This window comes from Homo sapiens, chromosome X (genome assembly GCF_000001405.40).
Source record: "Homo sapiens chromosome X, GRCh38.p14 Primary Assembly".
Classification (NCBI taxonomy): Eukaryota; Metazoa; Chordata; class Mammalia; order Primates; family Hominidae; genus Homo; species Homo sapiens.
Window position 1 is genome coordinate 9,741,143 of NC_000023.11, and position 26,053 is coordinate 9,767,195.

General features: G+C 47.3%; 1 protein-coding gene across 3 annotated transcripts in view, besides 1 other annotated feature; it reads right to left on the bottom strand.

Moving 5' to 3' along the window:
• Positions 1-26,053, bottom strand: part of GPR143 (G protein-coupled receptor 143) — a 53,257-nt gene that overhangs the window by 15,797 nt on the left and 11,407 nt on the right. For 2 of the 3 annotated variants that reach the window (NM_000273.3, NM_001440781.1), the window contains exons 1-7: positions 24,426-24,705; positions 19,575-19,684; positions 18,190-18,284; positions 7,432-7,524; positions 4,902-5,011; positions 2,423-2,531; positions 196-313 (exon numbers count right to left, since the gene is read on the bottom strand). In NM_000273.3, coding sequence (NP_000264.2) covers positions 196-313; positions 2,423-2,531; positions 4,902-5,011; positions 7,432-7,524; positions 18,190-18,284; positions 19,575-19,684; positions 24,426-24,675 — 885 coding nt within the window. In that variant the 5' untranslated portion in view covers positions 24,676-24,705. Of the gene's footprint in view, positions 1-195; positions 314-2,422; positions 2,532-4,901; positions 5,012-7,431; positions 7,525-18,189; positions 18,285-19,574; positions 19,685-24,425; positions 24,706-26,053 lie in introns of those variants that run through there. The other variant, XM_024452388.2, reaches the window with a different exon arrangement.
• Positions 23,611-24,112: an enhancer, noted in NCBI's record as "H3K4me1 hESC enhancer chrX:9732793-9733294 (GRCh37/hg19 assembly coordinates)". NCBI's record gives its function as "activates a minimal SCP1, AML or CMV promoter by ChIP-STARR-seq in primed H9 embryonic stem cells {active_cell/tissue: H9 hESC(primed)}" and the evidence as "EXISTENCE:reporter gene assay evidence [ECO:0000049][PMID:30033119]".

Genomic DNA, 26,053 nt, shown 5'->3' on the forward strand with positions numbered 1-26,053 from the left:
GGGTGGAGGCATACACCTGTAGTCCCAGTTACTCAGGAGGCCAAGACAGAGGATTGCTTGAGCCCAGGAGTTTAAGGCTGCAGTGAGCTATGATCATGCCACCGCTTTCCAGCCTGGGTGACAGAGTGAGACCTTGTCTCTGAAGCAAATTAATTAAATAATTAACTAATTAAAATAAAATATAGATTGACCTACCATAATAAACCATGTGGTCTTGGCTGCAGTTCTGACAGGTTTCAAAGAACCTCCATTGATATCTGTTTGCATCTCAAGATAGAATAAAAGGCTTTCATTGATGATATTCGACAACCAACTGTTAGAAAGAAAATGGCAGCAGGTAAAGAGAACATGCAATGAAACTCGTTTTTAAATGCTGGAGAGTCAGAGAAGAATTTCTACCAAGACCTAAAAGTACCAACTCCCGGTATAGACATGGCCACTTCTGCAGTAAGAAACTAAGAGGGCCAGGTGCAATGGCTCCCTCCTGTAATCCCAGCACTTTGGGAGGCTGAGGCAGGAGGATTGCTTGAGCCCAGGAGTCTGAGACCAGCCTGGGCAACACAGTGAAATTTGTCTCTACTAAAAATAAAAAATAAAAAAATTAACCAGGTGTGGTGGTGTGCACCTGTAGTCCCAGCTAATTGGGAGGCTGGGGTGGGAGGATCGCTTGAGCCCAGGAAATCGAGCCTGCAGTGAGCTATGAATGTGCCACTGCACTCCAGCCTGGGGGACAAAGTGAGACCCTGTCTCAGAAAGAAAAAGAAAAGAAATGAGACTAAGAGGAACCAGCACACTAAGAATTTAATTTAAAAAACATAATTCGTTTTCTCAGTCTAAAGCACAGATCAGCAAATCCTTCCAATGGTACCACTCAACACCACATCAGGGTGTAAGGTTCTAGCACTGTATCAAATAACCCAGAATTCATTTTTTGTTTGAAGAGCAACGTACAGTTTTCATGGAGATCAAAACAATTTTTTCTTGCCATTTTATAATAGTATTTTTCAATGTTATTTTAGGTGGCTCAGTGAAATATGAAATGTTGAACTGAGTGTATTTTTAGTAGGAGATGATTTATGTATCTCCAAGAAAGGTGTCCAAACAAAGCTCATATCAGGTGAATTATTATTACTATTATGTTTTAGAGACAAGGTCTCGCTCTGTCACACAGGCTGGAGAGCAGTGGCATGATCATAGCTCACTGTAGCCTCGAACTCCTAGGCTCAAGTGATCCTCCTGCCTCAGCCTCCCGAGTAGCTGGGACTATAGGCATGTGCCACCATTCCTGGCTAATTGTTGTTGTTGTATCGCCCAGGATGGTTTTGAACTCCTGACCTCAAGGAATACTCCTGCCTCCAACTACCAAAGTGTGAGCTACCACGACCCGCGCAGGTGAATTTTTAACATCATAAGTACTTGCCCTGCCTGCAAGGTACTGATTCACCACAGTGCAGCATGTTCTGATTCCAGTTTTATTTTTTGCATTGGTTACAGGTCTGTTTTCAAAGTATCCACCTGAAAGGTTTGGACAGGATACCAGTGGTGGGGAAAAATGAGGAGAGACAAACTGCTCAGGCCGTTCTCCAACCTTCTTGACCAAAGACGTGCCCTTGCCCCTCTGTCAGGCACAGGAATTCTGGTGTCAGGAGTGAGGCAAATGGGTGAGTTTATAAAGCATGACCAGCTGAGTGTGGTGGCTCACGCCTGTAATCCCAGTACTTTGGGAGGCCTAGACGGGTGGATCACTTGAGGTCAGGAGTTTGAGACCAGCCTGGCCAACATGGTGAAACCTCAACTCTACTAAAAATACAAAAATGAGCTGAGTGTGGTGGCACACACCTGTAATCCCAGCTACTCGGGAGGCTGAGGCAGAAGAATCACTTGAACCTGAGAGGCGGAGGTTGCAGCGAGCTGAGATCGTGCCATTGCACTCCAGCCTGGGTGACAGAGTAAGACTACTTGGGAGGCTGAGGTGAGAAGATCACTTGAGCCCTAAAGATCAAGGTTGCAGTGAGCTGTGATTGAGCCACTGCACTCCAGCACTCCAGCCTGGGTGACAGAGAAAGACCCTGTCTCAAAAAAAAAAAAAAAAAAAAAAAAAGCATACGCAACCCCTTTGTTTTGGTTAACCCCAGCAATGCACATGGTTGGGACATTTCAAAACTAAACTTGGGTGTTCGTTTTCTAAGGGCTTTATATATAATTTGAGTAGATTTGAATGTTTTTCCAGAAATTCATGAATTTTGGACTTGCTCCCCTGTCCTCTGTGCCTTTCCTCAAAGGGCACCTAGCACAGTCTCAAAGATTTCCTTCCCAAAGGCTCTTCCCTTTGGAACTTCTGGTCACGCATGCAACATGGCAAGTTGTTTCCATAGCCCTTCCCACTGGCAATAAAAATACACATATATAGAAGAAAGGTTACCAAATAATTAAAACCAGCATGATTTTGAAAAATCGGATCTTGATCACGGCTCCCATCCTCCTCTCGTTCTCCGTGTAAATGCCTTGTCTTCCTTTAAGTAAAGAGGCCACTGTGAAGAACAGAAGGAACTATGTATGGTGTTCATTATTCATGTTTACGGAGTGACAGAGAAGGCAATGGAAGCAGGTGTGAGCCCACAAGCAAGGCCAGAGGGGCAGGAAGCAAAGCAAGTCACTGACATTCATTCCTCACAACTTCCAGGTTGGAGTCCTCATAGACCCTAAGGAATATACATATTTTTAAACTTCTGCTTTGAAATAATTTTAGATTTACATAAAAGTTGCAAAGATAAAAGATAGCACAGAGAGTCCCTGTATATCCCTACCCTTTACCCAGATTCCCCTCAATGTAAGCATCTTATGCAACCATGGGGATGTTCTTCACAACTATGAAATTAACACAGGTACATTACTATGTTAACTCCCAATTTTGGCTGGGTGCAGTGGCTCACACCTGTAATCTCAGCACTTGGGAGGCCAAGGTGGGTGGATCATTTGAGGTCAGGAGTTCGAGACCAGCCTGGCCAACATGGTGAAACTCTGTCTTTACTAAAAATACAAAAATTATCCAGGCATGGTGGTGCACGTCTGTAATCCCAGCTATCCGGGAGGCTGGTGCACGAGAATCCCTTGGACTCAGGAGGCAGAGATTGCAGTGAGGCAAGATCACTGCACTCCAGCCTGGGTGACAGAGCAAGACTCCGTCTCAAAATAACTAAATAAATAAATTCCCAATTTTATTTGAATGCTCCTAGTTCAGAAACTATATTTTTAAAAGCTCATTTTCTCTGTTATAAAAATAGAGGTGCAGTGGCTCACAACTGTAATCTTAGCACTTTGGGAGGCTGAGGCAGGTGGATCACCTGAGGTCAGGAGTTCGAGGCCAGCCTGGCCAACATGGTGAAACCCCATCTCTACTAAAAATGCAAAAATTAGCTGGCTGTGGTGGCAGATGCCTATAATCCCAGCTACTCGGGAGGCTGAGGCAGGAGAATCGCTTGAACCTGGGAGGCGGAGGTTTCAGTGAGCCGAGATCACGTCAATTCACTCCAGCCTGGGCAAAAGAGCGAAACCCCATCTCAAAAAAATAAAAATAGTGCACGCTTGTTAAAATATTGAAAAAAATTTAATTTCTTCTTATAGACAAGTTAGAAAATATTTAAAAGTTTAGAGAAGTATGAATGACCCATGGTCCGTCCACCCAGAGGTAACCACTGTTAACATCTTAGTGTATTTCTTTTCAGTCTTTTTTCTATAAGTCATTTCCATCAGCTCAAATCACTATTTTTGATGAGATTTTGTCTTAAAATGCTATATTTAACACACTATATTTAAATGTAGATATGCGCCAGGCGTGGTGGCTCACGCCTGTAATCCCGGCACTTTGGGAGGCCAAGGTGGGTGGATCACCCGAGGTCAGGAGTTTAAGACCAGCCTGGCCAACATAGTGAAACCCCGTCTCTACTAAAAATACAAAAAAAAGTAGCCGGGCGTGGTGGCGCTTGCCTGTAGTCCCAGCTACTCAGGAGGCTGAGGCAGGAGAATCACTTGAACATGGGCAGCAGAGGTTGCAGTGAGCCGAGATCACGCCACTGCACTCCAGCCTGGGGTGACAGAGCGAGACTCCGTCTCAATGAAAACAAAAAGTGTAGATATGAAGAGAATGGTCCGAAGAATCACAATAATTTCCTATTACCAATGATAGAGTACTCTCAACAATGTTTTTAAAAAGTTCAACAATCAACAGGTGATCTTCAAAGGACCTCTCAGTTAAGGCAAATTTCCTTATTCCCATTCTCCCCTTGAGAGATCTCTGGCAGCCTGAGGAGGTGGGAGGCTCACTCCAGGACACACTTCCTTGAGGGGAAAGTAGGGGCTGGACTGCAGGTCTCCAGCCCCAGCCTAGAAGTCTTTCCCAGACATGTTGCCAACGACTTCATTACTCTTATCCTTTTCTAACCATTGACCTTGACTCATTTCCTGTGCTCCACTTCCTGTTTCCTGCCCATCTGAGAAAAAACATCAGCCAAGTGCATTATGGGGCTGGAGCCGCCTCAGTACAGACTCAGTCCCTTCCCCCTCCCTTCTCTTCTCCTTCTGTTCCTCTCACACCTCCACAGTCGTCCAAGGGCACTCCTGCAGCCGACCCAGGAGAAGCCCAGTACAGAAGTGAAAAGTCAACTAGTCCTGGCACTGAGCTAACAAACGATGGTACAGAACTTGTGCGGGCAGAGGCCTGCACATTTTCATTTATTGAACCTGCTTACTTTCTGCAGCTGTGTTCTGCTGATGTCTCTGGAGGATGACAAATGAGGTCAACTGTCCTGGAGAATTCCAGGACAACATGTGTCACTGTCTGAGCCCGAGGCATGGGGCCGCTCCCAGTGGCCGTGTACCCAGAGAGCTTCCCTAGTATTTACCTGCAGTCACTGTCTTTTGGAACAGGATGGGGTTCGCCACGAGAACCAGCAGCAGGGGCAGGTACATGGTGACATAGTGGGGGATGGCGTGGTCCAGGCCCCGCTCACACCTGAGAGAGGAAAACCAAAGTCATTCTTCTCAAAAGCAAAGTTTTGGCTAAAAGACATCTACTTATCTGGAAGTCAAGATAAGAGGATGAGAACAAAAAGGGAAATGCATAAATCTGCTGCTGACTGCCCAAAGGAAATGTGAGTCATTTCTCATGTCTGGAACAAGCCATAAATTGCAGGAGAGTAAGGGAGATCAACCATGTTTCTGTCTCAGAAATGGGAGGACCCCTAAGGCATTCCACTGGAGGAAGCTTTTAAAGGTTCCTGCTGGGAAAAGATCGGAAAGAAAAACACCCTGGGATGGGGGATTCCCTGCACTGGGTCTCAAGGAAAAAACGCAATTCAAGTAGAGACAAAGGCACTCCATTAAATAGTGAGGTTTTGAGTACTTACTACATGGTTTTGGGCAATAACATGAATAAAATCTTGTCCCTGGGCTTGAACAACTCAAAATATGCCAGCTGCATATTTCAGAGGAAATGTGTTCTCATGGTTATGGATAACAATAGTTTCAGAGGTTCTTGTCAGAGAAAAGGACAAAGATTTCTACTGAGGGGTCATAGGAGTCACTGGTCACCACAGAATGTGCTGGAGGGCCTCACAAACATATGTTACCAAGGTAACAACTCTCAGCTGCGAAATGCTTAATGTAGGAGAGAAGCAAAATGGCACAGAGGAAGAGGAAACTGAAGGCAAAGGGGAGGGAGGTCTGCTCCAGCTCAACCAAAGAGGGAGGTGGAAAAGGGGCTAACCAAACAGCCTCATGGCCACGGAAGGGGGAATGACAAAAAATAAATTAAACACCCTTAATATTGACGGAGTTGTCAAACCAGAGGGGAAAGTGGCAGAAAATGTAAAAAAAAAAAAAAAAAAAAAAAAAAAAATCAGGTGGGAAAAATGCAATACCCGTCTCCTCTTGCCATAGGAAGAATTACTATACCACCTCTCAACGCTGCCACTTTCTTTTAACAGGCGGTTTTATCTTTAGCTGTAGAGGCTAAAATTCAATCTGGAAAGGCTTGAAAGGAGAAAGAGAAACAAGAGGAGAAAGAGAAGTGACTCCGATGCAAAGACAGAAAGGAAATGACAAATAAGAGAGTGAGACTGTGAGCATGAAGAACACCGAGCGCCCTGGGTCAGGCGTTGTGAAAATGAAGAGATGATTAAGGATAAGATGCTTAAAAGGTACAGCTCCTAAAGACCCTGGGAGCACCTCAAGGCTCCCTGTGCGCCCTGCAGCAATGGCACCCTAAGGCTCAGATGCAACTTTGCCAGGAGTCTCCGGGGTCCCACAGGCGAGGGAGAGTCACAGAAACTCCCTTTCCAACTAAGTGCATTCCGTTATAACAGCTGCTGACAGTGCATCTGTCCTTTTAAAGTTCCCCAGAAAAGCAGAATGTATGGATGGATCTATACAGAGCTCCCTGCTTGTATTCATGGTTGACAAGGCAACACCAATTTGGAGACATCCTCACTGAGTAGCCGCAAGAAGCAAGAGAAGAGGGAGATAAATTATCTACACCAATTTTTTTCTGTCGATTTTTTTTCTGTAAAAGAACAGATAGTAAATATTTTCAGCTTCATGGGCCACACTGTGGTCTCTGAGGCAACTACTCAACTCTGATGTTGTCATGCAAAAGCAGTCAGACAGTACATAAAGAAATGAGTGTGACTATATTCCAATAAAACTTTATTTACAAAAACGGAAGAACGCCGGATTTGTCCTGAGGGCTACACTGTGTTGATCCCTGGTATAAAAATCACAGACAAAGACACTGTCCACTTCCATTTTCCAGTTTTCCATTGGAAGTTAGAGTATATATCCTTGGAAAGACCTTGGCTTTGCAACTGAGGGTTGCATGGACAGGAATGTAAACTTGAGGAAATGCTTGAGACAGTTCCAGCGGCCACATCTCCCTCTGTGTGGAGGATAGAAGAGAAGTGAGAAAGCGTAGGAAGCAAAGCTAGAGAATAAGCTCTGCCCAGGGATCCTTATGGCCTCTTCCACATTATCCTACACTCATTCCTAGAATGTTAAGCTCACCTGCTCATCCAGAGGAAGCTTGAAGACCAAATACTTAAGAGTGGGCATGAGAAAACTGTACCAATACAGGGGCTGGGAATACACCTTACGTGGAGGGAAATATGCGGAAAGCTTTGCCTACATGCTTGTGTGCATGGGTGCCTATGCACACAAACGAGAAAGGCAGAGCCAGGGAGAATGATTCCAGGGTCATTCTCCAAGCTATTGTAGTCAGCCCTCTGGGGCTGGGCCGTGAGCATGGCCTCATGTGGCCCTGAGACAACGGCCTAACCTCCAAGGCACCCACTCTGTGGGTCGGGGCTCATGTATTCCCTGCAAGACAACACATTATGAGCCAAGGATGGGGCTGCCTGGGGCGCTGGAGTCCCAACTTACCTGGACACGGAAGGGTAGTAGAGCATGGCGGCTCCCTCCACACAGAGCAGGGTGGCCAGGCCCCACGCCATGATGTGATACAGCAGGATGGTGCTAGGGGACAAGCACAACAGCAGCCACAGCTCAGTGGGGCACAGAGGCCTGCCTGGAACTGCCAGGCCAGCTCCTGCGCTCTGGAAAGGTCAGGAAAATGTACACAGAGGAAAGCCCCTCGGCAAAGAGTTTCCTCGTGCTGCTGAGGTTGGTTGGTTGTTTTCCATTGAGGTGAAATTCACATCACATAAAATTAACTATTTTAAAGTGAACAACAAAGTGGCATTTAGTACATTCACAATGCTCTGCAGCCATCACCAGCGTCTCCTTCCAAAATGTTTTCATCATTCCAAAAGGAGACCCCATATCCATTAATTGGTGATATGGTTAGGCTTTGTGTCTCCACCTGAATCTCATCTTGAATTGTAATCTCCAAAATCCCAAGGGATAGAACAAGTTGAACTAATCACTGTTGGATGGAAATCAATTGGTTAGGTGGTTGGAGGACGGAAATGACCAGGTGGAGGTAATTGAATCATGGGGGCGGTTTCCCCCATGCTGTTCTCGTGATAGTGAGTGAGTTCTCACGAGAGCTGATGGTTTTATAAGGGGATTTCCCTCCCCCCCCAACCCCCTCCGGCCCCCAATCGCTCGGCTGCCTTGTGAAGAAGGTGTCCTGCTTCCCCTTGGCCTTCTGCCACGATTGTAAGTTTCCTGAGACCTCCCCAGCCACGCTGAACTGTGAGTCAATTAAACCTCTTTCCTTTATCAATTAGTCTCAGGCAGTTCTTCATAGCAGTGTGAGAAGAGGCTAATATAAATGGTCACTCCCCTTTGCCCATCCCCCAGCCCCTAGCAACCACTAATCTAGTTTCTGTCTCTGTGGATTTGCATGTTCTGGATATTTCATGTAAATGGAAATATATGCTACGTGGCCTTCTGCACCTGGCTTCCTTCACTCAGCATAATGCTTTCCAGGTTCACTGACGTTGTAGCATGGATCAGTTTCTTCATTCCCTTGTTTCTTTTAATATTCTGTTGAGGCAGTATCTTGCTATGTTGCCCAAGCTGGTCTTGAACTCGTGATCTCAAGCAATCCTCCCACCTTGGCCTCCCAAATTGCTGGGATTATAGGCATGAGCCACTGTGCCCTTTCTTTCCTCTTTTTGTAGGGGTTAGGGGTCAGGGTCTTGCACTGTCATTCAGACTGCAGTGCAGTGGTGCAATCTCGGCTCACTGCAACTGTCTCCTGAGCTCAAGCAATCCTCCCACCTCAGCCTCCTGAGTAGCTGGGACCACAGGCACACGCCATCATGCCCAGCTATTTCTTTGTATTTTTTTGTGGAGATGAGGTTATGCCATGTTGCCAGGCTGCTCTTGAACTCCTCAGTTCAAGTGATCCCCCTGCCTCGGCCTCCCAAAGTGCTGGGATTACAGGCGTGAGCCATAGCGGCGGCCCTTTCTTCCCTTTTTCTGACTGAATACCATTCCATTGTATACATGGGCCAAGATTCACCCATCAATGGACATTTAGGTTGTTTCCACTGTTTGTCTACTGTGAGTAGGGCTGCTATGAACATGTGTTATGTACCAGTATTTGTTTGAGTTCCTGTTTTGTTTTGAGATAGAGTCTCACTCTGTGGCCCAGGCTGGAGTCCAGTGATGCAATCATAGTTCACTGCAGCCTCCAATTCCTAGGCGTAAGCAACCCTCCCACCTAAGCCTCCCAAGTAGCTGGGACCACAGGCATGCACCACCATGCCCAGCTAATTTTTTTTTTTTTTGTAGAGATGGGTCTTACTATGTTGCCCAGGCTGGTTTCAAACTCCTGGCCTCAGTGATCCCCTCACCTTGGCCTCCCAAAGTGCTGGGATTACAGGCATGAGCCACTGCACCTGGCTGGGTTCCTGTTTTCAGTTCTTTGGGGTGTATACGTGGGAGTGGAGTTGCTGGGTCAGATGGCATTTTTTTTTTCAAGATGGAGACTTGCTCTGTCACCCAGGCTGGAGTGCAGTGGTGCAATCTCGGCTCACTGCAACCTCCACCTCCCGGGTTCAAGCAATTCTCCTGCCTCAGCCTCCCGAGTAGTTGGGATTACAGGCGCCCACCACCAACCTGGCTAATTTTTGTATTTTTAGTAGAGGCAGCATTTCACCATGTTGGCCAGGCTGGTCTTAAACTCCTGACCTCAAGTCATCCACCTGCCTTGGCCTCCCAAAGTACTGGGATTGCAGGCATGAGCCGCCGTGCCCGGCCATACATTTCTGCTATTTATAAGCTGCCGCCAGTCTGTGATGTTTGTTATAGCAGCCTGGACGGACTAAGACTGCACCTCACGGGCACAGCACTCGCCAGGTGCTCCTCCCAGCCTCCCCACTTACTCCTCTTACAGCCTCATCCCAGGAGGATGCTCTGAGGCTCAACAGGTTTGAACCGAATGCAAACAGCTGGCACATTAACTAGCTGCATCACCTCGGCCAGACCCACTTCTCAGAGCCGTGAGTTGCTCCTCTCAGCTGGGTGAACACGGAAACCCTCTGCGGCCTTCCTGTGCCACTACGCTAAGGGGCCAGGTGGACGTCAGGCCTGGCTGCTTTCTGCTACTTACGCTGCCCTCCAGGGCAGGCTGGCCGTCCCCGCCCACCTCCACTTTCCTACAAGGCTGGGCTTGCCCTGGATGCCCAGCTGTCTTCACTTTGAGGACAATCAGGCGGCCCCAGCAATGGGATTTACCAGCATCCTGTGCTCAGGGAGGTGGAGACATGTACTGGACCATCAGCGCTGTTACTCTGGGATTTCCCTTCCGGTGCACATTCTCTACAGAAGAGGGGCCAGTGATAGGAAACACTTCCCACACCCTTAACCTACAAGATGGCTGTCAGCACGTGCGAAGGTAATATCGAGTTGAAAGGAATGAAGTACTAATGCATGCTACTCCATGGGTGAACCTCAGCAACAATGCTGAGTGAAAAGCCAGACACAAAGGGTGCACATATTGTGTGATTGTGCAGACATGGGGGTGGCTGCTAATGGGTACAGGGTTTCTTTTTGGGATGGTAGAAATGTTCTGGAACTAGTAATAGTGAGGCTAACTGATGTATAACCTTGCAGATGGCACTAAAAGCCACTGAACTGCACACGTTTAAAGGGCAAATATTACAGTATTTAAGTTACGTCTCAACTAAAAGAATCACAGAGTTGTATCAGCGCAGTATGTCTCACTCAGTGTACATTGGCTGAATGTTTATTGAGCAAAGATCATGCCTGTTCTAGGCACAAAAAACAGAATCCCTGCCTGCATGGGAGTGACCATCTTGAGAGGATGACATAGAAGAATCAGTGTAATGTTCCAGCCTGTGCCCCTGCTGGGGGCCAGCCCCAGAGGCCATAGCTGGATGGAGAAGATTTTACATGAAGTCAGGCTCGTAGCTGTGATTAATCTAAAAGATGAGACTATGTTTGTGGTGGTTGTTGTTTTAAGAGATGGGGTTTCCCTCTGTCACCCATACTGGCATGCAATGGCACAATGATAGCTCACAGTAACTTCAAACTCCTGAGCTCAAGCCTGCCTCAGGCTCCCAAGTAGCTAGGACTACAAGCACTCACCACCACACCCAGCTAACTTTTTTATTTTTATTTTTAGTAGAGATGGAGTCTTGCTATGTTGCCCAGGCTTGTCTCAAACTCCCGGGCTCAAGCAATCCTCCCATCTCAGCCTCCCAAAGTGCTAGGATTACAGGCATGAGCCAACATGCCTGGCAGAGACTATGTTTATAAGTTAGAGTGGATAAACACTTGTGATAGCCCAAATACATTTCCCTAAAGATGTCCCTGTCCTAATTTCTGGAACCTGTGAATATGTTCCCTTATATGGCAAAAGAGACTCTGCAGGTGTGATGAAGTTAAGGATGTTTGAGATAAGGAAGTCATCCTGGGTTATCTGGGTTGGGCCAATGTAACTGCCAGAATCCAGAAAAGCAGAGACTATCAGCTGCAGAGAACCAGAGAGGAGGGAATTTGAGAAGGACGTAACCCACCATTGCTGGCTTTGAAGATGGAGGAAAAGGCCACAAGTCAAAGAATGTGAGCTGCAGCCTGGCCTGGAGGTGCACACCTGTAGCCCCAGCTACTCAGGAGGCTGAGGCGGGAGGATTGCTTGAGCCCAGGAGTTGAAGGTTGCAGTGAGCTGTGATCATGCCACTGCCCTCCAGCCTAGATGACAGAGTGAGATGCAGCTATTAAAAATAAGAAAGAAAGAAAAAAAAAGGAATACAGGCGCCTTCTAGAAGCTGGGAGCTGGGCGTGGCTGGAGTGGGGAGGGTGAGAGACGACAGAGGGAGCGCCGTGTGTTGAGGACTGGGTCACAGAAGCCTCTGTGGGCCACAGGACCATGTCAGTTTAAGTGTAAGTCTGATAACCTACTGAAGGGCTCTTTTCATCTATTCAAAAAAAAATTTGCAACAAGATAAACCTTAAAACTTGAAAAAGGCCGGGCGCAGTGGCTCATGCCTATAATCCCAGCACGTTGGGAGGCCAAGGCGGGTGGATCAGGACCAGCCAGGCCAACATGGTGAAACCCCATCTCTACTAAAAATACAAAAATTAGCTGGGTGTGGTGGCAGGTGCCTGTAGTCCCAGCTACTCAGGAGACTGAGGCAGGAGAGTTCCTGGAACCTGGGAGGTGGAGGTTGCAGTGAGCCGAGATCACACCACTGCACTCCAGCCTGGGCGACAGAGCAAGACTCCGTCTCAAAAAAATAAATAAATAAATAAAAATAAAAATAATTGAAAAAAACAGAATCTGAAAAAAAAAAAAAAAACCCAGTTATAAAAGATGAGGGGATAGCTTAGAGAAGAAATCAGCCAATGGCTGTGACTGCAAAGTTTTTTATGGAGATGTCAGAAAGGGAGGAGGAGCTGTGCTTGGGCTTGTCTGGTTTGCTTTTTCCTACCTGATCCTCTGGCATGGAAGCGAATCCAGGTGGATCTGCAGCAAACCTGAACCTGAGGTTTCCCAACAGAAGGACATGAACGTGGGGTTCCTTCTCAGCTGTGTGGGCCCTCACAGCCCCCCAGCGAGAGAGGCCTTATGCCTCCTGAATACCTGGCTCACCCGATAAGCAAGGAGCTCCTATCCCCAAGCCCTTCCAGAGTCACCTCCACACCTAATAGCCAAGTCTGAATGCTCAGTCCCACCTGGGAAGGCTGTCTCTGCAGAAACAGCAGCTACTACATGCTTCCCGAGAGGAGAGCGGGGGACTTGCCTTTCGCCTCCCCATTCCCTGCACAGCTGGCATTCTTGCACAGTCTCTAGCTTTCATCTTTGTACTTCCATACACCCCACCCCGTTTCCCCCAGGAGTTGAGGCCGCAGCCTTCCAGATGCCGCAGGAAGACTGAAGATGGAAGCTCTGCAGAGCTGACTGGTGCCATCCAGTCTTGGGTTTGCCTCTCCTGTCTGATGGGACGAGGTGGGGTAGGGGGCTGGAGCTCCATGGGATGCATGGCTGTCACTCAAAACCCTACCAGATTCCTGGCAAATATCACAACCCCCACCCCATCGGGACTTCAACTTGGAAGATCAGCTGTGTAGACAAAGGGATCTGAGTGAGAAAGGACACCCTTCTACAATGAGACAAGAGGAAAGAAACAAGCCCAAAGAGCTTCGGGAGGAAAAGAAACACTTCCAGCATGTTTTGCCTCCCACACTGTGACTGGTTCCTGGCATGGCTCTTCCCTAGCCTGGCTGGGCTGGGAGCGGGTGAGGGTTGGGGGTATGTCTCAGCAATGTGGGCCAGGAACCAGAAGCTCTGTATGAGACTCAGATAACTAACGGAGAGGCTTTCTGCAAAGGGCTGGGTGTTTGAGAGTGCAGAATCTCTGCATTCCAGACCCTGACTTCGGGCTGGGCCTCTGAAACCCACACCGGGGCAGAAGTCTGAACCCCAATCCACAGCAGATCAGGAGAAGCCTGCGCCCCCCACTGGCTGAAGACCCTTGGTCCCAACATCCTGCCTTCTGATCACTGAGCTCCAAATGAACTCCCAAATACTATCCTTGGGGTAAGGAGGGCTTCATGATTGCCTGTCCCAGCTTCTCAGGGCCCTGTCTGTCCTCTGGGTCCAGACAGTTCTCAGATTGCCCTGTGGGACCCCATCCCTTTTCCCCCACATCCCCACCGTGGGTGGAGGTGAAGTAATATATCCTCTATGGCAGCAGAGGGCATTACTTTTCTCCCAGCTTCCTTCCAGCACTCTGAGACGCTTCTTCTACCCATAACTGGCATCTATAAGACCTACAGTTGTGTCAGACCTCCGACCTCTCCAACACTGAGGGATGCTCAGAGACATGCCAATCATGAGAGCTGCAGGGCCATGGCTGTATCACACTGCTGATTACCTACTCAAAGCCATATTTCCTTTTTCCCTCAGTAACATAACCTGGATGTCATGAGGGCAGCTGCATGCTCGGCTCACAGAGTCTATTTCCTACCTCCTTTAGCAGCTAAGTGTGGCATGAAACTAAGTTCTGGCCAGGCATGGTGGCTCAAGCCTGTAATCCCAACACTTTGGGATGCCGAGGCGGGTGGATCACCTGAGGTCAGGAGTTCGAGACCAGCCTGACCAACATGGCGAAACCCCATCTCTACTAAAAATACAAAAATTAGCTGGTCATGGTGGCAGGCACCTGTAATCCCAGCTACGTGGGAAACTGAGGCAGGAGAATCGCTTGAACCCAGGCGGTGCAGGTTGCAGTGAGCCAAGATCGTGCCATTGCACTCTGGCCTGGGCAAAAAGAGTGAAACTCTATCTTTTTCACCCTAAGAGTGAAACTCCATCTCAAAAAAAAGAAAAGAAAAAAGAAACTAAGAGTGAAACTCCATCTAAAAAAAAAAAAAAAAAACTAACTTCTGACCGATAATATGTAACTGGCATTGTATGAAACTCCCAAGACACTACTTAAAGCTGGCTCAGGGGAACACAGGCCTCTATTGCATTGCATTGCTCTCTTCCCACTTCCTGATGCCCAGAATGTAGGTGTGATGACTGGAGCACCAGCAGCTATATTGGGCCATGACACTTTGAGGATGGAAGTCACACGATAGGATAGTGACGCAGGAAAATCAAAGGAACCTGGGTCCCTGATGTCCATCACAAGTGTCCTGGATTGCCTACCTCTGGACATCTTTAGCATGAAAGAGAAATCTCTACCTTGTTTAAGTCATTATTATTATATATATTTTATGTAGCCAAAATGAATCTTCACTGATACACCTAATTGGCTGGCTCTGACCTTGACTATCTTCCCTGGAGAATTTTCACAACCAGGCATATCTCAGTTTGGTTCAGATGTGTAAGAGTTTGGGAGCTAAGGTAAAAAGATGGAAGGAACAAGCATAAAAATGAAGTAAGCACTAAACTTCAGGCCAGAGAGACCAAAGTTGATGATGTGATCTACATAAGGAATGTCAATGATTTTAGAGCGGGGATCTACTGGGATTACCCAATATATTCTATAGCCTACATATGATCTCTATTTACTGATATTGGCTTTAAAAGTAAATTTATTCAATAAATGGTGCTGGGACAACTGGATATCCACATGCAAAATAATGAAGATGGACCCATTAGTCACCTGTGCACAAAAATTCTAAGTGGACCTAAATTTAAGCATTCAAACCATAAGAAAACATAGGTCTAAATCTTTGTGACCTTGGGTTAGGCAATGATTTCTTAGATATGACAACAAAAGAATAAGAAATCAAGGAAAGAAATAGAAAAATTGGACTTCATCAGAATGAAAAACTTCTGTGCTTTGAAAGATATCATCAAGTAGGTGTAAAGACAAACCACAGAATGGGAGAAACTATTTGTGAATCACGTATGTAATATGCTACTTGTATCTAGAATATATAAAGAACTCCTACAACTCAATAATAAAAAACCAAATAGCCCAATGAAATAATGTGCAAAAGAGGTGAATAGATATTTCTCTAAGAAGATATATACATGACCAATCAGCACATGAAAAGATGCTTAGCATCATTACTCATCAGTGAAATCAAAACCATGAGGAGCTACCAATTCACACATGCTAGGATGGCTAAAATTAAAACAGATAATAACAAGTATTGACAAGGATGTGGATAAACTGCAACCCTCACATTACTGCTAGAATGTAAAATGGTACACTCACCTTGGAAAGCAGTTTAACAGTTTCTTACCTGGTTATACCTAGAGTTACCACATGGCTCAGCAATTACACACCTAGATATATACTCAGGAATATGTGATGAAAACATATGTCCACACAAACACTTGCAGACAAATGTCAGTTGCAGCATTATTCCTAGTAGCCAAACAATGGAAGTAGTCAAAACAATGGAAGCACACAAAATGTCCATCAACTGATAAATGGATAAACAAAATGTAGTATAGCCTTACACTGGAATATTATTTAGCAATGAAAAGGGGTTGTTTTAGTCCATGTAGGCTGCTATAACAAAATATCACACACTAGGTGGCTTATAAACAATTATTGCTCACAGCTCTGGAGGCTGGGAGTCCAAGATCAAGGTATAGCAGATGTGATGTCTGGTGAGGCCCTGCTTCCTGGTTCATAGATAGCACCTTCTTGCTGTGTCCCCACATGGTAGAAGGGGTGAGGGAACTCTCTGGGGCCCCTTTTACAAGGGCACTGATCCCACTTATGACCTAATAACTTCCCAAAGGCCCTGCCTCCTAATACCATCACCTTAGGGGTTAGAATTTCAATACAGGAATTTTTGGAGGGACAGAAACATTCAGACCATAACAGGAATGAAGCACAGACATGTGACAACACGGATAAACCGTGAAAATGTTACACTGAGTTAAAAACCCAAACACGAAAGGTCACGTACTGTATGATTCCATTGCTATGAAATGTCCAGAACATGCAGCTCCACAGAGACAGAAAGTAGATAAGTGGTTGCTGGGGGCTGTGGGGAGGGGGCAGTGAGGAGTGACTAATAACCACCACAGAGATGTAGAGGGGATGATTAAAATGGTGTAACATCGATAACGGTGATGGTTATGCAATTCTGTGAATACACGAAAAACCACTGGATTTTAGGCTTTAAACAGGTGACCTTTATAAAGCTGGGTTTTTTGTTGTTGTTGTTGTTTGTTTCTATTGTTTTTTGAGATAGGGTCTCACTCTGTCGCCCAGGCTGGAGTACAGTGACACGATCATGTGCTTTGACCTCCTGGGCTGAAGCCATCCTCCCACCTCAGCCTCCCGAGTAGCTGGGACCACCGTTGCACCCCACCATGCCTGGCTATCTTTTTTTTATTTTTTGTAGAGATGGGTCTCACTGTATTGCCCAGGCTGGTCTCAAAACTCCTGGGCTCAAGCAGTCCTCCTGCTTCAGCATCCCAAAGTTCTGGGATTACAGGTGTAAGCCACTGTGCCTGGCCTACAAAGCTGTATTTAAACAAAAACCAGAACAAAAAACAGGCAAGGAGGGGCTCCCTTCAAAGGGGACCTGAATCAAGTGGACCATGAACTTGGTGGGGGCAAATGCTTCCTGGATTTGGAGCCCTGCCATGCCACATCCAGCTTCTCTGTGTCAGTTCAGCTTTCTATGTGGATGTTTCCTCAACACATGTGCAGCCCACCTACTGTAACAGCTGATAGGTATCAAGAGCTGGCAACGTTTCAGGACTGTTCTTAACCATATACAGGGGTTATCACATTTACTCTTCACAGTGACCTTGTGTGGTGGGTACCATTTCACAGCTGAGAAAACAGAAGTCCAGAGAAGTTAAACAACTCGCCAACAGTTACACAGCTCACGAGTGACTGGGCATCAGTTCAAACACACCAGTGCCCCAGATACTAGCCACTGAGTAACTCCCTGCCAAGCAGCCACCTCCAGCCCCGGCATTCTCAGGTTCCAGATTTAGCATGAAGTGTCAATATATACATCCTTTGAACCTTTAAATATAATAAAAAATTGTTTATGCAGTGGCTTATGCCTGTAATCCCAGCACTTTGGGAGGCCGAGGCAGGAGGATCACTTGAAGCCAGGAGTTTGAGACCAGCCTGGGCTGCATAGCAAGACCCCATCTCTACAAAAATAATAAAATTAGCCAGGTTTGGTGGCACATGTCTGTAGTCCCAGCTACAGACTGAGGAGGCCGAGGTGGAAGAATCGCTTGAGCCTGGGAGGTTGAGGCTGCAGTGAACCATACTCTCACCACTGCACTCCAGCCTGGGTGTCAAAGCGAGACCCTGCCTCTAAAAAGTAAAAAATAAACAATAAAATTGTTTATGTACATGCCCATTCTGTTTTAGTATTTGTCCAGTTCCAAATATTTCATTTATTGAATTACTTGCTTTCAAGGTTTTTAAAATCCTCAAGATTTTCTTTTATTATTTTGGAGATGGACTCTCACTAAGTTTCACAGGCTGGTCTCAAACTCCTGGCCTCATGCAATCCTCCTACCTCCCAAGTAGCTGGGATTACAGGCACAAGCCACTGTGCCTGGCTAATATTTTAAATGTGCCTTTGGCCTCTTATAAAAATGAGCTGCTGTGGATGTTTCTAGGCGGAGGGGCCAGCTGACAGATTCTGAATGACGGTGTCTGCAACACTGCAAAATACTTTTAAACGCTCAGTGCCATCTCTTATCTTCCCTCTAAAATAGAACTAGGGCAGAAATCCCATTTCCTCGGTGAATACCTCAGTCCTGCCGATCTCCGGATCACCAGATAAGCATCCACTGCATAGCAAAACAGCCACCAGAAGCAGGCACTGTACAACAGCTGGATCCACATCTGCAATCGGGAAGAGCCTGCATCAAAATGTCTGGAAACAGGTACAAGAAGCCCAGCCCATCCTTGAGACGGCAGGGTAGACACTGGCTTCCTCTGACGTCAGGAAGCCGCACGTGACAGCTCTCGGGACACAAGTGGGCACAGTTCCTGGGACCAAGGAGGGTGTGGCCTGGGATAGGTGTAGGCATTCAGATTTGACTAAGGAACTATGCCTTCTGCTCCACTTGTATGCAGGGAGGATGAAGTTCCAAGATATGTCATTTAAACTGAGGTGCAGGCTCAAGGGGGCTTTGAACTAGATAGAAGCTCTTGTTCTGAGGAAGAATGAGTACGGGGAGGAGGGACTCAGGCAGTCCTTCCAAAGAGAAGATGGAGTAAGGGGACTCCAGTGTTAGAAACGACACAAGGTCAAGATGTCTCGCCACTGCGGGCTGAGACAGAGCCTCCATAGATGCAGTTAGGAAGCCACTGAGGACAGGGAAGCAAGGAAACTGGCAATTCTGCTCCAGCACAGGGCAATCAACACAGCATCAGGGAATGTGCTTCAAATCACTCACCTGAGCACCACCGTGACGGATGGAGCATAACATACATGTGTATGTGTGTCTGTGTATATATGATATCTATTTACTTTTTCAATAATTTGTTTATATATAATTATGTGGTTTTATTTTTTTTCTTTGAAGATGGAGTTTCACTCTGTCACCCAGGCTGGAGTGCAGTGGCGCGATCTTGGCTCACTGCAACCTCCGCCTCCCGGGTTGAAGCAATTCTCCTGTCTTAGCCACCTGAGTAGCTAGGACCATGGGCACACACCACCACGCCGAGCTAATTTTTGTATTTTTAGTAGAGACGGGGTTTCACCCTGTTGACCAGGGTGGTCTGGAACTCCTGGCCTCAAGTGATCCACCTGCCTTGGCCTCCCAAAGTGCTGGGATTACAGGTGTGGGCTGCCGTGCCCGGCTTGTATGTTTTATTTAATATATTTATGTATATATTTATACAAAATGCATCCAATGGATTGATAACTTTTTCTGTGCCAGCTGGTTTTGCTCGTGGCCCCATGTAAGCGGAGGATGCATTTGTGAAGAGGTGGGAGAAACAACACTTGAGTGTCTGGGCAGCATCCCCTGGAGGGTTTTGTTAAAACAGAGAGGGCTGGGTTCCTGATCAGCAGGATGGGGCAGGACGTGAGAACCTGCATTTCTAACAGACTCCCAGGGTTTGCTGCTGCTGCGATTTGAGGAGCATAAGTAGGGAGGAGAGGGCATGCAGAGGGGGTGGACTCACCGCACTCCCCACGCAGAAAGCAGCAGGCCAAATTTCCGTGTGGTTCATATCCGAGACGCTGTCAACAAAATTTGGGAATCCTAACCACACGGTGGACCGGATCACCATACCTAAGAGAGAATTGGATAATACTTTGTATCTGATCCTAATCAAATATAAAGCTGACTTCTTGCTTTGGAAAAATGATAGATACATAATAGATAGAGATAGGAAGAGAGGAAGGAAGAAGGAAGGAAGGAAAGGAGGGAGGGAGAGAGGGAGGGAAAAAGACAAGGAGGGAAAAGGAAGAAAGGAAGAAAAAACATACATATTTGTGTGTGCAGAGAGAGAAAAAGAAGATTGAAACTCATAAAATAACTTTTTTTTATTTTTATTTTTTATTTATCTTTTTTTTTGAGACGGAGTCTGGCTCTGTCACCCAGGCTGCAGTACAGTGGTAAAAACCCTGCTCACTGCAAATTCCGCCTCCCAGGTTTAAGTAATTCTCCTGCCTCAGCCTCCCGAGTGGCTGGGATTACAGGCACCCACAACCACGCCCAGCTAATTTTTGTATTTTTAGTAGAGACGGGGTATCACCATGTTGGCCAGGCTGGTCTCAAACTCCTGACCTCAAGTGATCTGTCCGCCTTGGTCTCCCAAAGTGGGATGACAGGCGTGAGCCACCGCGCCTGGCCTGAAACTCAGAAAATAACTTATGGTAGCAAAACAAACGCAGGCACTTTAACGCAAACCATAGTTGGCCACAGTCTCATCCCTATTTTGTTTGTCTGTTGGTTTACTTGCAATATGTGACTAGCAATCTGGATTTCTCGGCTGCATTTTCAGTGGCCATATTAGTTATTCCTCACATAAAAAAGAATTTTTCAAAAAGCACAATTTAGAAGTTTGAATATATAGTTCCTTCATTCTTTTTTAAACACAACATTTAAAATTTTCACAAATTAATTCTCAATAATTTGCCTTTAACATTTATTCTTTGTGAGTTTCTCTTGCTATTAGACCCAAATGTCTAATATCCTCAAAACAGTATGCACACTCATGGTACATATTATGGTTCTTTGTTAGGTAATGCAATATCCGTTGTTTAAAAGTACACTAGGGTCTGAGCGCGGTGCTCACGCCTGTAATCCCAGCACTTTGGGAGGCCAAGGCCGGCGGATCACTTGAGCCCAGGAGATGACACCAGCCTGGCAAAACCCCATCTCTACAAAAATACAATAATTAGCTGGAGGTGGTGGCACGCGCCTGTGGTCCCAGCTACTCAGGAGGCTGAGGTGGGAGAATCGCTTGAGCCCGGAAGGCGGAGGTTGCAGTGAGTCGAGATCGCACCACTGTACTCCAGCCTGGGCGACAGAGTGAGACCCTGTGTCAAAAAGAAAAGAAAAGTAAAGAGCCTGGCATGGTGGCTCACGCCTGTAATCCCAGCACTTTGGGAGGCTGAGGTGGGTGGATCACCTGAGGTCAGGAGTTTAAGACCAGCCTAGCCAACATGGGGAAACCACATCTCTACTAAAAATACAAAAATTAGCCAGGCACGGTGGTGGGCACCTATAATCCCAGCTGCTCAGGAGGCTGAGGCACAAGAATCGCTTGAACCTGGGAGGTGGAGGTTGCAGTGAGCCAAGACTGTACCACTGCACTCCAGCCTGGGCGACAGAGTGAGACTCCATCTGAGAAAAAAAAAAGTATGCTAGGTAATATAAAGGGGAGAACTGTAAACAACACCAAGCTACATACTATGTAGTAGTGCTCACTGGTAAACATGCCATACACCACTAAACACACACTGTGCAATACACTACTAAAATCACACCATATAATATGCAACACACACCATGCGATACACCACTAAACAAATGCTACGTAATATACTACTAAACACATACCATGTAATATACCACTAAACACACACTATGTAATACACTACTAAACGACAACTGTGAACACTAAAAAGCTCAAGACATCTTCTCATTATCAAGCCACTGCCAACAAAAACAATGCCTTTCTTCTGTACGGTGCCTTAGAATTTTCAGCATTTATCACTCCTTTGAGCTTAATAAAAGCCCTATCCCATGGGCATTGAAATTTCTTATTTTTCAGTAAGGGGTCCCGATCACCCAGCCTTTTCCTGACTTCTGCTTATTTGCTCGCAACCTCATCCACTTCCCTTCTAAAGGCTAAAGGATATGCAAGTATTATTCACTAACCCTCAAAAGATGTTTGGGTACACCTTACTTTTTTAGAGACAGGGTCTTGGCTGTCACCCAGGCTGGATCGTAGCTCACTCTAGCCTGGAATTCCTGGGCTCAAATGGTCCTCCTGCCTCAGCCTGGTGAGTAGCTGGGACCACATGTGCATCCCACCATGACGGGCCTTTTTTTTGTTGTTTTTTTTTTCTTGGGGGTAGAGCCTGGGTCTCGTTACGTTGCCCAGGCTAGTCTTGAACTCCTGGGTTCAAGCAATCCGTCCACCACAGCCTCCTGAGTAGTTAGGATTACAGGCGTGAGCCACCGCACCTTTAGGAGGCCGAAGTAGGAGGATCGCTTGAGCCTAGAAGTTTGACCAGCCTGGGCAAGATGGTGAGACTCCAGCTCTGAAAAAATAATGCAAAAATTAGCCAGTGTGGTGATGCATGCCTGTAGTTCCAGCTGCTCAGGAGGCTGAGGTAGGAGGATCCCTTGAGCCTAGAAGTTCGAGGCTGCAGTGAGCTATGATCATGCCAGCACACTCCAACCTGGGCAACAGAGTGAGACCCTGTCTCAAAAATAAAGTGATAATGATATTGGGGTTGCAAATGTTTAGAATTATTATGTTTTAGGGCTCTCTCTGAGATCTGAATGGGCAGGATGATGGAGCCTGAGATTGGCTTCACATTAATCCAGTGAGGAGGGTGAAGAGGGGAGCAGATGAGCCGGGTACCCGTACCTCACGAATCCCACGTACAGGGATTCACTGTAAGTGTTTCTATTATAGACTGCATTTACGCATGGTGGAAATGTTCCAAAAAGCTAAACAGAATGGCCAAATCTAGCTGAGAGGTCTGTATAAAGTGTCACATAATAGTTTAAAGCAGATGTTGGCAAACTCATTCTTAATATTTTTGGCTTTGGGAGCCATACTTTCTCAGTCCAATATTCACCCTGCCCTTGTAGGGTAAAGGCAGCCATGAATAATTCACAAATGCACATGAACAACATAGCTGCGTTCCCATCAAACTTTATTTGTAGACATTAACATTTAAATTTCAGTAATAGTCACATGCCAGGAAATATTTTTTAATTTTGATTTTTAAAAACATTTTAGGGCTGGGTGAGGTGGCTCACGCCTGTAATCCTAACACTTTACGATGCCAAGGGTGGTGATCTTTTAATTAAGCCCAGGAGTTGGAGACCAGCCTGGGCAACATAGTGAGACCCCACATATATTTACCCTAGCATGGTGGCGTGTGGCTGTAGTCCCAGCTACTCGGGTAGCTGAGGTGGGAGGATCGCTTGAACCCAGGAGGTCGAGGCTGCAGTGAGCTGTGATTGTGACACTGCACTCAACCTGGGCAAGAGGGTGAGACCCTGTCTCAAAAAACAAAATCATTAATTTTTTAAAAAGTAGGATGTAAAACCATTCTTAGCTCGTGGACCCTAGAAAACGGGCAGGATTTGGTCTGAGGGCTGCAGTTTGCGCACCTGTGGTGTAAAAACCATACCCAAAAAGCCTGGATAGGGAAGGGATTTCAGCTTACAAAATACTCGAGAGAATATATAGTGCACAATAGAAAAGAATTTACACACGCGCACACACACACACACACACACACACACACACACACACACAGAGCGAGACAGAGAGAAGTTAATTGTTAGTCTCTCCCTGGTGCAGTTGGGCAAAAATGAGGAAATCTTTTCTGGTCTGGGTTTTGCTTAACTGCGCCATCTGAAGTTTCCATATAACAAACACAATAAACGGATTTTTTAAAACCCAACGTCCCTTGGATGGGAATTTTACCGACCATGTGTTTGCAAAACTACCTAGTCGGCCGGGCGCGGTGGCTTACGCCTGTAATCCCAGCACTTTGGGAGGCCGAGGCGGGTGGATTACCTGAGGTCAGGAGTTCGAGAGCAGCCTGGCCAACATGGTGAAACTCCGTCTCTACTAAAAATACAAAAATTAGTCGGGCATGGTGGCGCGCGCCTCCCCCAGCTACTCGGGAGGCTGAGGCAAGAGAATCCCTTGAACCCGGGAGGTGGAGGTTGCAGTGAGCCGAGATTGCGCCACTGCACTTCAGTCTGGGCGACAGAGCAAGACTCCGTCTCAAAAAAAAAAAAAAAAATTACCTAGTTGTCCCATCCGGTCCCTAGGGAACAGCCTCCGCTTTCTCTTTTCTCTGTGGTTCAAGTGTTAAGACGGCCAGCCCAACCCGCTAGCCGTGCGCCATCACCCGGGCACCGATCAAGTTCCAACCCGAGTGGATCGAGTTCCAACCTGCGGGCCATGCGCCCTCACCCGGGCATCGATCCGGTCTCAACCTGCGGGCCACGCACTCTCACCCGGGGATTGAGCAGGTCCCAACCCCAGGGCCTCACGCCCTCACCCCAGCACTGAGCAGGTCCCAACCCGCGGGCCTCAAGCCCTCAGCCGGGGACCGAGCAGGTCCCAACCAGCCAGCTACGCGCCCTCAGCCCTGCACCGGGCAGGTTCCAACCCGCGGGCCTCTCGTCCTCACTCCATCACGGAACAGGTCCAAATCCACAGGCCGTGCGCCCTTATCCGGGCACCAGTCGGGTCTCAACCTGCGGGCCACGCGCCCTCACCCAGGCGCTGATCAGATTCCAACCCGCGGGCCGCGCGCGCCCTTACCCAGGCAGCCGAGAAGGTCGCAGGCAGCGGCAGCGCGCAGGATGCGGACCGAGGCCGGCGGGGACGTCGCGGGGGACCCGGGGCCCGCGGGCCGGCGGCCGGGCAGCAGCTGCAGAAGGCCCAGCGCCAAGCGGAGCCCGCCGCTGCCCAGGCAGAGCGCGTGGAAGGCCCGCGGCTGGAAGCTCAGCACGAGCTGCGTGGCTGCGTCCCGCGTGGGGCAGCAGAAGGTCCCTAGGCGCGGGGAGGCCATGGGCTGTGTTCGCGGACGCGGCTCGGGTGTGCCAGGACCCCGCCGGCCTGCCTGGGTCATGTGCTGGGCGGGCTGGGGGCGGCATCATGTGCCCTGGGCCTCTCCCCCACCCCAACCCCCAGCGCCTGCAGTAGAGCCAGGCTCGGTGGGGGCCGAGAGCACTGGGCTAACGCCACGAGGCCTCACGAGGTGATGCTTGGGCGGGCGGAGGAGGAGGACAGAGAGAGGGAGGGCTGAGAGGAGAGGAAGAGGGAGGAGGAGGAGGGAAGTGGAAGGAGAAGCAGAAAGGTTGGGAAGGTTACCTTTCTCCCCATTCACCAAGCCTTCCTGGTGGTTTCTCTGCCACCTAGAGCGCCAAACCTGCCATCTTTACTGGTCTTCTAGAGAAACAGGCCTCGTGGACTAGATCTTTCCTATTTGGGACTCTGACATCCTGATTTTGATGCCTTTAAGGCGCCAGAACATGTTCATAAACTGTGACTGATCCCTGTAACTGCTTTTTTCCTAAGTAGAGATGGTTGTCCAATTAGTGCTTTTTTTTATGGCCTCTCTCATTCATGGATATAATCCCACAGAGGCAGGATTTTCGTTTACAATTAATGAATGAAACAAACAGATCAATGTTAAAGAAAGAGCAGTAGCTCACACCTGTAATCCCAGCACCTTGGGAGGCCGAGGCAGGCAGATCGCTTGAGCTCAAGAGTTGGAGACCAGCGTGGGCAACATGGCGAAACCCCACCTCTATTAAAAATACAAACATTAGCCCGGTGTGGTGGCCCAGGCCTGTGATCCAAGCTACTCGGCAGGCTGAGGTGGGAGGATCGCTTGAGCCCAGGAGGTGGAGTTTGCAGTGAGCCAAGATAGTGCCACTGCACTCCAGCCTGAGCGATAGAGCCAGACCTTGTATCAAAAAACGAAACAAAACAAAAATTAGCTGGATGTGGTGGGGCGTGCTTGTAGCCCTAGCTTCTGGGGAGGCTGAGGTGGGAGGATCACTTGAGCCCGGCAAGTGGAGGTTGCAGTGAGCAGAGATTACACCACTGCACTCCAGCCTGAGCAATGGAGTGAGACCCTATCTCTCTCTCTCACACACACACACACACACACACACACACACACACACACACACAGAATTAAGTTTAAAATTTAAAAACATTAAAAAAATAAAGGGAAAAGTACTCAGCATAAGTACACACAGACACATTTTGCACCTTAACTTTCAGTTCTATTTATTTGGATTTTTCTTAACTGCGTTAATTTTTCTATGTTTTCTCATACATTGAAAATCTTGCTTTATTCTATACATGTAAGTTTCCAAGTAATATTGTGTTAATGATTACAGTAAGCATACTAAGATTTTTTTTTTTAAGTTCTTCAA